The 12,186-nt window shown below is 39.9% G+C and overlaps 1 protein-coding gene across 61 annotated transcripts in view; it reads right to left on the minus strand.

Moving 5' to 3' along the window:
* Positions 1 to 12,186, minus strand: part of ST18 (ST18 C2H2C-type zinc finger transcription factor) — a 299,042-nt gene that overhangs the window by 20,295 nt on the left and 266,561 nt on the right. For all 61 annotated transcript variants that reach the window (NM_001352871.2, NM_001352836.2, NM_001352872.2 and 58 more), the window contains 6 exons: positions 11,798 to 11,913; positions 6,289 to 6,351; positions 5,458 to 5,526; positions 2,107 to 2,169; positions 1,925 to 2,005; positions 826 to 1,047 (listed from right to left, as the gene is read on the minus strand). In NM_001352871.2, the coding sequence (NP_001339800.1) occupies positions 826 to 1,047; positions 1,925 to 2,005; positions 2,107 to 2,169; positions 5,458 to 5,526; positions 6,289 to 6,351; positions 11,798 to 11,913 (614 nt within the window). The remainder of the gene's footprint in view (positions 1 to 825; positions 1,048 to 1,924; positions 2,006 to 2,106; positions 2,170 to 5,457; positions 5,527 to 6,288; positions 6,352 to 11,797; positions 11,914 to 12,186) is intronic.

Raw genomic sequence — 12,186 nt, forward strand, 5'->3', positions numbered from 1 at the left:
TAGAACTGAGCAAAATCTCAAAAAGCCCCAATTTTGCTCAATGTTTACACTGCTTATATACAAAACATTAACGGTTTCCTAAAGCTTCATTGGATTTTAAACCAGCATCATGTACAGTGGCCCAAAAGACAAGACAGGACCCCCTGTAGGGAGAAATATGTAGGGAAGCTTCTAATCTTTCCCTTTAGGTGGAATGTGAACCAAAAAGCTGGACAAAGATCACTGTTGCCCAAGAAAGGGCTTGGTTGAATGCATGACACTCGGTGGTAAAGGAATTCAGTCACTGGGAAGCTATAAAAGGGTTTCTAGATCTCCTGTATCCTGCTGCACACTTTGCAGTCACTGTGTCATTTTCTTTCTGGCTGCTGCGGATGAGTCACATCCTCCCAGTAGCAAAATAACTACAATTTTGCCCCCAAATTGAGCCAGTCCATAAGACAGAGGGAATGCTATAAATATGTAAAGTAAAAGTTTGCAATTACATAACATAATAGAATAGATATCACCACTTGGAACTGAAGTAAACCATTAAATGACTGAACCGTTAAGAAATAGCAGCCTAAGCAATATTTTAGAATACAAATAAAACCAACTGTACATTTTCTAGAGCACTTGAAAACTGTGTAGTAATTTTAAGAAATAGAGAGAATAACATTTTTCATTCTTCATGCTCATCCAGTATCTATACAGCAAGACTTCATGTTATGACATCTCAACTGCTACAGTGAACAACCTTTAGGGGGTTGTTCACAACCCTCTCCCCAAGGCAGCCTAGGCGACAACCGATCACAACACTACAACAAAAAGACAGAAAACTCATGTTACCTTCGGTGGGTGACAAAAACATTATTTACATGGCCCAGCCCATTGCAGCCTGGCAAGGGACAATGTGGTAGCTCTTGTTTGTTCAGTTTCCAGGAGAGGGAGGCTCCATTGAGAGGATTCTCCTTCTGTCTCTTGGCAGCCAGAGGACAGCCAGAAGCTGTGCGGTGTGATGTGTATTTACCTGATATGTGACCTTGGCCATCACACCCTATCACAGGACATCTAGAGAGAAAGCAGAGACATTACCAGCCAGGAAGAAGGCAGTGATAGTCCTATGCTCTCCAGAGAACAAACCATGCAATTATAGAGTTTTAATAAAAGATGCCACCATAACTAGCAAAACAGCATTGCATAAACAGGCTCAGAGCTACGCGATTTTCATGCATTATCTCACTTAATATTCACTACAATCTACTGGGTAGAGAGTATTATTATCCCATTTTGTAGATGAGGAATAATGAAGCTTAGAGAGCTCAGGTAACCTGCCGCCCATTTTATAAGAAGTGGAGCCAAGTTCATGCCCACACTTTTTAGGTCTAGAGCCAACCACATAAGGACTATGTTATGTTGCTTCCGAAGACCAAAGGTATAACATGTTAACTGCCTTAACAGACGCTGCATAGCACATTACTCATAGAACTGGAATTTGAGTTTCTAAATGTTTAAATATTGCATTTAGAACTGTTGTTGAGAAAACAACTTAATCTATATCTGCATATATCATCCATGACCTTTCTTAGAGGAAGGAATTCAATTTAGATATAATTTCACCTTAAGCAAAATTAAAGTTTCGGGGGAAAATGCTGCCATATTTATCATTGTATAGTACTTCCACAATAATACTTTCCTTTAAAACAATTGAGAAATGTATGAAACTGTTACTTTTTAAAACAATCTTTTGCATTATCAAAGAGCTGTGGAAGTGTAGATATAAATTGGAAACTTTTCTCAAACCACCAAATAGTTTGACTCTTGCTTATATTTAATAGGGTACACCTTCCCTGAAACTCAATCCGTGTTCAATTGCATCCCAACCAAGTTCCCTCCCATTTTACCAACAAGAGACAGCTGACCCCCATGTCTCAACTGTTGCACTTACTTCAGTTCAGGGTCTTCTTTTTCTTCCTTGGTAGGGGTCATTTTGACACCACCTTTCCTTGCACGAGGGCATCCGGACAAGCTGAAATAGGGACCCGACAAAGAACAAAGCAAAATTATGTGATCTCTCTGACTGCTGCCGACAAGCTCATTTCCACATCTCAGAAATAAGATCAATCCTACCTTCTGTGGGAAGCATAGTTTCCAGTCACGTGCCCCGAGCCATCGCAGCCTGGGGTTGGACACCTGGAAGGCACAGGAAGAGAGCATGGGCTGAGAAGTTGTAGTTGGGGGAGTGGGGGTCACACTCAAGTTATTTAGGTTCTTCAGTAATCACATTAATGTTCCAAGTCTCTGTAGTTCACGTGGAGGGAGGCGGGGTCACACAGCCAAATGTAACTAAAAACAAAGAGCTGCTTTCTGTGTGAGACTGTTTTTGCTTAAATATAATTATCTTTTGGTTAATAATCAATTTAAATATTTTTAAGGATATATGACTACTGAGTGACAATGGATTAGTTGTTGTTTATTGTACATTCTTTTTTTTTTAACCTCATATAGAAGGGACTTGAAAATCAGTCCACAACTTATTGCTGGGCTTCTGTCTACATCATGCAAAGTTCTTACCTTTTATGTAAAAAGAAAAGTTTTCCAAATTATTATTATTATTATTATTATTATTATTGTTATTATTGAGACAAAGTCTCGCTCTGTGGCCAGGCTGGAGTGCAATGCTGCGATCTTGGCTTACTGCAACCTCCAACTCCCAGGTTCAAGTGATTCTCCTGCCTCAGCCTCCCGAGTAGCTGGGATTATAGGCACATGCCTCCATGCCCACCTAATTTTTGTATTTTTAGTAGAGACAGGGTTTCACCATGTTGGCCAGGCTGATCTCAAACTCCTGACCTCAGGTGATCTGCCCGTCTCGGCCTCCCAAAGCTCTGGGATTACAGGCGTGAGCCACTGTGCCCCGCCTCCAAATGATTTTTATGAATAATTTATTTTCTCTGATATGCTGTGCGACTATGATAATCCATAGATTTCAGATGAACAACAGTGATACACGTGAACTGCAGAGACTTGGAACATTTATGGGATTATCAAAGAACCTCAATAATTTGCACCTGGTCTGTCCTGCTTCATGGCCCAAGTCAAACAGTCTTTGGGGGAAAATCCATCAATAACTACACCAACAATCAACCATTAAATTTGGAATGAGAAAAGTGAAAGATGACAGGGAATCCAATTTCTACTAGGAATGCTGATTAGGAATAGGTTTCAAAATATTCTTAAATATAAAATTTTACGCAGACTTTCACCTTTTTGCTGTCTTTTTAGAAAATCCCCAATACAAACAAAAACTAGAGGCCATCACAAAATACTTGCTTTTCTGAATGCACACTGTGGTTCACATCAAATTTCCATTTGAGAAAAACAATAATCCAAAGAAAAATGTGTTTACTATCCCTTTCCTTACATTCCATTCCCCTGAACTTTCACAGAATGCATTTATATTCAAGCCTGAGTCAGAAAATAGGGAACAAATTGCCTTTTTTTTTTCTTTTTTCAAATGTAATATAAAATGAGCATGCATCTCTTCTGGCTAACCAGAGCAACCTGCATTGAGTCTTTTATCAACCATTTAAAGACATAATATGTATCTTCCATTATAAGAAAGTTTTACATGCTGGTCTTTTTCTATTAACATTTTTTAGTAAAAAAGTGGTTTTATAGCATATTGATTGGAAATATCTGTGCTGAGTAACCGTTCGTTTTGGGGCATTCTCCATGAATATCTAAACAAGAGGTCAATAAAATGTCTCTTTGATTTTTCTTGCATGGAAGAAATTTTCTTGTATGGAAAAAACATATCTATGGAAAAAACCAAAGACATTACTTATTAGATAGCTGTATAAAAATATTAAATAATGAATATTCCTATAGGATCTCTCAATTTACATGTTTTCAGTGTATTACCAACATTTTTCTAGAAGCAAGTTTTAGAGAAAATATTTAAGAGACCCAATAGCTATAATTAAGATGTGGCAATGTAGAAGTTTAGAGCAATTCAGTAAGATGTTTTGGTACATCTCACTTTTCACTCTGTTAATTATTAGTCTCTACTTACTACTTATATTTTAGTCTAGAAAAATGCCAGTCAATAAAATGACTTCTAAAATCCACACTGACAAAGTAAATTGCACCTTACACTGAAAATGAGAAAAGTGGCCAGGCACGGTGGCTCATATAATCCCAGCACTTTAGGAGGCCGAGGCGGGCAGATCACCTGGGGTCAGGAGTTTGAGACCAGCCTGGCCAACATGGTGAAACAGTGTCTCTACTAAAAATACAAAAAGCACTCAGGCATGGTTGTGCATGCCTGTAATCCCAGCTACTCAGGAGGCTGAGACAGGCAATCGCTTGAACCTGGGAGGCGGAGGTTGCAGTGAGCCGAGACTGTGCCGTTGCACTCCAGCCTGGGCACCTGGGCAACAAGACCGAAACTCCATCTCAAAAAAAAAAAAAAAAAAAAAAAGAAAGAAAGAAAAAAGGAAAAAAGACAGAAAATGAGAAAAGTATATTTCACAGTTTATTTTACTACTTTTGGTACTAAGATTCCAAATTTTCATATCTGTCCATTATCACATCTTCTTTCATAAACTTAGTTTTTAAAATTTTTAGATAAAAAAATTTTAAACAGCTTAAAAAAGTGAAGGACTAACAAAATACTAAGAAAATATAATACGTGAAATGTTACATGTGTTTTAGACACCAAACGCTGATGCTGCTGTCTACGCATATTGTTTTACCAGTAGATGTAGTAATACTCATTTTTTCTAAAGCTTTATTATTTGTAAAAAGATGTAATTAGTTTTGTTTAATCCTATTTCTTTATCTTTTAAAATTTATGCCCTATCATATTTTTAAGGACTAAAAGGTAGACTATAAATGTTTATTGTTCTATACGTAATATAATAAGATATGAAAATAAACAAATGAGAACTTTGTATTAAAAGAAGATGAGCAGGAAAAATGAAATCACAAAGTAAAAGTTAATACACATGTGACTTTGAGATCTTGTAGGTGAGGCAGGAATGAGCCCAAACTCTTGGTTTGGGTGTTTTTGGCACCCAAGAGTGAAAGGCAGTTGTACGAATCAAAATACCCAGCAGGTTAAGGATTATGCAATTTCTTTAAAATTAAATGGCAGGTATGCTTTGAGACTCCTTCACAGGTCTGATTTAATACATAGACTGTGAAATTTACAGAAAAAAGTATTGTGTTAACTATTACATCACACTTTTAAAAATTATTATAAAATACAAAGCCCCGGAAGCAAGCAAATTAACTAAATTAAATTACAGTGATTTTGTTTCAGTCATCCCAGCGCTTTAGTCAGAAAGTGCCTTTGCTGTGATCCTGGCAGGCAGGACATACTGCTTGTTGCTGATCACTTGGGCAATGAATGGGCACTGAACGAGAGGGTCCTACCGTGTGGATGAAGGGCAAGCCGGCCACGCTTCCCGCACTTACTTAAGCTCCTGAGAGTTGGCAGCCATGAGGGATTTTAGAGTCTTATCTGCTAAAGGACATCCAGAAACACTAGAGAGGGATGAGGAAAAAAACACAACACAACACTGACATATACAAATCTGAGTCAAATGGCATCCTGAGTCGTGAACATACGTTAAATTATTGGTGACTGGGGATTGGGAAAAAAAAATAACTGGCTTTGAATCTGGCTTTGCTCTTCTCGCCAGTCTGGGCTGGTGGCACTTCAACTATTTCTCATAGACTCAGATTTTCTGTTTATCAAATGAATGACTTTAGCCCAATGAGACCCCCCAACTCTAAAGCTCAGGGATGCAATGATCACCCACACACAGAGTCCATTCCTGCTGCACAGCCAGGTGATGGTGCTTTTCCAAGAGAAGACAAATCCCATCAATGGAGATGGTGAGTAGAAAGATTAAAGCAACTCCTTTGCACTGTTTAATCTCTCAAATGCTTCAATTTGTTATTTGCCCAGGATTGAGGGTATTACTTTTCCTCGGGCAAATGGTCGATTTGAGTCACTGTTGTATTTATTCCTCATTCCACATGAGTCCTCAAGCCACACAGAACCGAAGCCTGACATGAGCTCAACTTTTCACTTATAACCTGGACTACAGGATCAGAAAACCATTTTGACCAAGAATCATGATTTTTATATCACATAATTTTATTTCTGAAAAAGAAAATAAACCAAAAACCCAACCAACTCATTTCCTGCTTCAGATAATACATGGATAGAAAGGGTGAGAATAAGTATTTAAAATAGAACAAGACCATGAAAATCTGACTGCACATGAGGTCATTGGGTACCTGCGATGAGATGCATAGTTTCCTGTCACGTGGCCACTTCCATCACATCCTGGTGTTGGACAGCTGAGTCAATAGAAAATACATCATTAGAGTCAAGCGCATTTCCCAGGTTCATTTCCTCTGCCCAGTAGATTACGGAGGAGGTAGCTTCTCTGTGCGAGATAAGTTAACACAGTATAGGACATGCAGAAGCTAGTGTACCAAGGATTTATATTATATAAGAACCAGTGGACTACCTGAAAGAAAACTAAAAATCATAGCATGATGAGTTACTTCCTTAGGTACCTGTTTCAACATCACATTCGATTATTTGATTCCATTGATGTGGGAAAGTGATGTCCTTGTGATGTTGTCAGTTAGCAATCAAAGATGTTTTAATTCATTTGAAAAATGTATATGTTGCCGGGCATGGTGGCTCACGCCTGTAATCCCAGCACTTGGGAGGCCAAGGCAGGTGGATCACCTGAGGTTGGGAGTTCGAGACCAGCCTGACCAACATGGAGAAACCCCATCTCTTCTAAAAATACAAAATTAGCCAGGCATGGTGGTGCATGCCTGTAATCCCAGCTACTCGGAGGCTGAGGCAGGAGAATCGGCTGAACTCAGGAGGCGGACATTGTGGTGAGCCGAGATTGCACCATTGCACTGGGCAACAAGAGTAAAACTCTGTCTCAAAAAAAAAAAAAAAAAAGAAAAGAAAAAGAAAAATACATATGTTATAAAAAATAAATATTAGAAACCCATGCTTTACTATGATAGCAGATCTTAGGAACACCAGCACCCATTATATGACATATTCCAGAAAGAAATTTTTGTGAGTTTTTAAGAGCAAGGCAACCTAGTAACTTTATAAACATTTTAGAAACCACTGAAAATCTTTGACTAATTAGCGAAGACAATTGCTAATTCACCATTAGCCTAAGAATAGGCTCTCAGGCCATCTGCCAAGAATCTCACTCCATTAAGATGTGTGCCCCTGCATTTCATTTTATCTCTGAACCTGGTCATGTCCTGTCCACCTTATGTGTGTTGTAAAAATAATATAATCAGCTACTCAGGAAACTGAGGCAGGAGGATTGCTTGAGCCTAGGAGTTCGAGCCTGCAGTGAGCTATGATTGTGCTACTGCACTCCAGCCTTGGTGACAAAGTGAGACCCCATCTCTAAAATAATAATAATCATGTAAGAAGGTAGTTAGTTATCCTTAGCAGTTTTCTTCCACAATTAATAGATTCCTTGGTTTCTCAGTCATTTAGTTTCCTCTGATGGTGTTTGAAAGTCACTCATTTGTAATAAGCAGGTGGACCCCAGCCTACTCAGTGTTATTTGCGGTGGTGTCAGTTATTAGAGGGGAACATCAACTACACCAGTCACGCATCTGATCTTTTTTTGACATCCTGCCTAAAGCGAGGACTTATCCAGATATACAGAATACATGTTTTAGCCTTTTGAAGGGACATTTTGGGATAAACTAACGCTATTCCTATATTTTCTGAGTTATCACTTTCTAAGTATTTTTCTTCCTGTGATCCACTTTCCAATCATTTTCAGGTATCTAAAGAAACTATAAGAGTTAGAGCATTCCCATCTTTCAAAGGAATGTTTGATTTTCAGGGTCTGATCCAAGCTAAGTCATCTATCTCCTTTCCCCATCCCTTTTCCTGGATAAGATAACAGAAAAAAAACTATAAAAGCTATAAATATATGTTAAAAAGTAAAGACAAAAACCAGTTATTAACATTTCGGCTGAGTTATCTTGCAAGTGCCATTCACTCACTAAATGTAAAAAAATCTTTTCTGAACATTATACAACTGGAGTATTCAGAGTGAGAGGTGTTTCAATTGCCTGGGAATTCCCACTTTAGAAATACATCGCCATTTAGTGTTACAAACAGCATTGCATTATATATATATATATATATATACACACAATTTTTTATTTTTTATTTTTTTTGAGACAGAGTCTCGCTTTGTCGCTCAGGCTGGAGTACAGTGGCGCAATCTCGGCTCACTGCAAACTTCGCCTCCTGGGCTCAAGCGATTCTCCTGCCTCAGCCTCCCGAATAGCTTGGATTACAGGCGTGTACCACCATGCCCGACTAATTTTTGTGTTTTTAGTAGAGACGGGGTTTCACCATTTTGGTCAGGCTGGTTTCGAACTCCTGACCTCAGGTGATCTGCCTGCTTCGGCCTCCCAAAGTGCTGGGATTACAGGCATGAGCCACCGCGCCCGGCCTATTTTATATTTTTAAATTACTCCGATTAATATTGCCAGGAGAAGCCAAGAAGTGCCAGAGGTTTTTAAACATCAGCTATAAATTACCTATAAAATATGATAATGAAATATGCATTCAATTAGCTGATAATTTATTTTTAAGTTTGGTTGTATTAAAAGGTCAAGAAATAAAGAACTGGAGACAACATTATACGGGGGAAAGTTGCAGTTTGGAATTTTGATAGCTAGACTAAATTCCGAATCTACAGTGAAAAATTTTACATAATGACATGTGCCAATATTAGTTGGGTGATACATTTGTTTTCAGATGAAAATACAAAAACTGGAAGAAAGAAACTAGCTAGTTTTCTCAGTAAGTGGCACTGAAACCGTAAGGAAATTCTAAGATAATTAGTGACATCCAAAAAGTCCTAATCTAGACAAAGTTTTTGGTAAGCAATCAAGGTACTGTTAGAAACACAAAGCAAAATATAATAAGGACAGGGTGACATGGAATGTAGTATGACTTTTACAAGACAAATATACCAACTCAGACACATGCAAATAAGTGATATCCATCAAAGCACTCACCCTGTCTAATATGCATGAATTAGACTGGGCGTGGTGGCTCACGCCTGTAATTCCAGCACTTTGGGAGGCTGAGATGGGTGGATCACCTGAGGTCAGGAGTTTGAGACCAGCCTGGCCAACATGGCGAAACCCTGTCTCTACTAAAAATACAAAAATTAGCCGGGTGTGGTGGTGGGCGCCTGTAATCCCAGCTGCCTGGGAGGTTGAGGTGGGAGATTGAACTGGGAGGTGGAGCTTGCAGTGAGCCGAGAACGCACCACTGAACTCCAGCCTGGGCAACAGAGCGGGACCCCATCTCAAAATAAATAGATAGATGATAGATGATAGATAGATAGATAGATAGATAGATAGATAGATAGATAGATAGATAAAATGGATGAACTAAGAGGCCTCTGAGAGAGTAATTTCTTAAGAATTTTTGGAATGATTATATTCCAAAAATCATTCAATATCTTTTTGAAATCCTTCCTCTTTTAAATTTACCCTCATACCATGGAGAAGTGCCCTTTGCAAAATAATCATGCTTCATTTTTCTGATCCAAAATGGTATTGCAGGTTAATTTTCAATCATTTACACTACATTTAGTTTGGGATGACTTTTAGCAATTTCCAACAATCTACCTTCAAAGGATAAAATTTTGCCATTTTTGAAGATATTAAAAATAACACATGAAAAAAATACATACAAAGATGAAAAGTTTCAAACAGCAGGTCCATGTGGGAAAAGGTGTCTGGCTGGCCTAAGTGGCTTCTAAGAAGTTTCTAAGAAGTTAGAAGTGACTTCTAAGGTCTCAAGTCACTGAACCTGAAACAGTGTTCAAGCCGATTTAAGTTCCAGCATGTTTGGAACCATCCGTTGTATCCGTCAACCACCAAGCCTCAGGTGGACATCAAGTTTACAAGGGAGAATGCTATTTCAGCCAGTAATGTTTGCCTACAAAATCCTTTGAGAATGCAAAGTCTAAGCTTATTTTAAAGTCGCTCACATACCAGTAGGGCAAACTGATGACGGACTCGGAATAATTTTTACTGAACACCTACTATGTGCAAGGCCCTGTTCTTGGCACCAGCATTTGAAATGCATTCCCTGCTCCCAAGTCACTGTCCATGTAGGTGGGGAAATAAGAGGCAGCACAGTGCATATTATGCACCAATGGTGTGGACAAGGTACAGAAGAGGAAATAAGGGGAAATAAGAGGTTGCATAGTAAATATTATGCATCAATGACGCGGACAAGGTAGAGAGCAAAGACGGAGGAGAGAAGACCTCCCGTCCCCACTTTGTGCCCTCTGAGGCTTTGTTCTTGGTAAAGGAGGCAGAAAATAGAGAGTGGAGGGAAGTGAAGAAAAGATCTGGGAATGGGAGCATCAGGGCTGAGGGTGGGGAAGCACAGTAGCCTGAAGGCCTCTCACATAAGTGATTGAGAGAAGAGCTGCGCTGAGGGAGGAGAGGATGTGGGCCCTGCAGAAGCCTTGGGGACAGCATTCTGGGCAGAGGGAACAGCAACCCTAAGGCCCTGCCTAATTCCTAGAGAGCTTAGGAGAAGCAAGAAGCCCAGAGTGGGAGGCTGGGGGATGGGAGCACTCACTGCCCCTGTGGGGTGGTGGGTGGGCATCTGGAGGTCACAGCGGGGTGGCAGCCAAGGAGTCCACAGCAGGAGTAAGTGCAGATAGCAGGAAGAAAGGGTCCCAGGACGGAGATCAGAGGCACCGCGCTCTTTAGAAGGCTACACATGAGTCTAGAAGGGCTAGCAGTGAGATGAGGGAAGAGTCCAGAGGTGAGGCATCCTAGAGGCCAAGTGTAGACAATGGATTGTGGAGGAGGGAGATCAGCTCTGTGGCATCCTGCTGCCTGTCAAGTAGGAACAGGAGGCTCCAGGACCAAGTTTCTGACAGGGGAAGGGGATGCCGAGGGAAGGGAGGTCCCTGGAGATCGGTCTGGGAAAGATTCAGGAGGGAAACTGCATCACACAGTAGCAACAACTTTCTTGATACGTTCAGCTGGAAAAGGAAGGGGAGACAGAGAATCCAGGTGGAAGCTGGGTCAGGAGAGGTTTTTACAGTTTTTTTTTGGAAAAGTTTAAACATATTTTTTGATGAGGGATACAGAAGAGAGGGTACAGTCCTGATTCCTAAGTGGACGCGTTACTCCTTGCTGTAAACTCTCATTAACTGGCAGCTTTAAATAGATTTATATATGAGTAGACTTGATTAATATTTAATCACTTACACATGGGAAACAGTTTCCTGCATTTGATTCACTCATTCACCCGCTAGTACATAACTCGTACTTACTGCCTTCGGGTACCCTGCTCTTTAACCTCTTCTGGGCCTCAGAACCCCTTTGAAAATGTGATGAAAACCAATAACTCCCTTGCCCAAATAACAATTTGCATCAAGTGTTAGAAGGTTAGTAGAGTCCCAGAAGACAACCCTTAGATCTGGAGGTAAATGGTTATCAGTTTAAGAAGCATTTCTAATTGTGTTATCTTATTTTGTTTTTTAATCAACAGGCTTTTAATTCTGTTAGCATAAGATCATGTACACCCTCTTAGCTCAGGTTAGATGCGTGTTTAACGTTTAACTGCTGACTGGTAGAAATCACCCTAACATCAACTGTATAAGCCAGGATATTGTAACTTTAAGTCATGAACTTGAATCTTCATTCCAGAATCTTAGAGGGCATGGCATTGGGCACCACTTACGTGATTAGTTCCTTTTTGAGATCTCTTGCATGAAGCTTGGGTTTAGGGCTTGGTATAGAGGCCTCTCCAGGAAACTTTTTTTCCTCTAAATTTTCTAGAGAGCTCACTGGGTCTTTCTGGAAAACAAACAAAAAACAAACAAAACACAGAAGCCATTAGGGAACCCTGGAAAGACAACTAGATTTAAAATCATTGAAGCCAGGTTTGAGTTTTGGCTTTGGACTTGGACTTGGCTGAAATACCTTAGAGGATTTGCATAAGAAATAAATAATATAGGCCAGGCGAGGTGGCTGATGCCTGTAATCCTTGGCCTTTGGGAAGCCGAGGCAGGCGGATCACGAGGTCAAGAGATTGAGACCATCCTGGCCAACATGGTGAAATCCCGTCTC

Source organism: Homo sapiens, chromosome 8, assembly GCF_000001405.40.
Source record: "Homo sapiens chromosome 8, GRCh38.p14 Primary Assembly".
Lineage (NCBI taxonomy): Eukaryota > Metazoa > Chordata > Mammalia > Primates > Hominidae > Homo > Homo sapiens.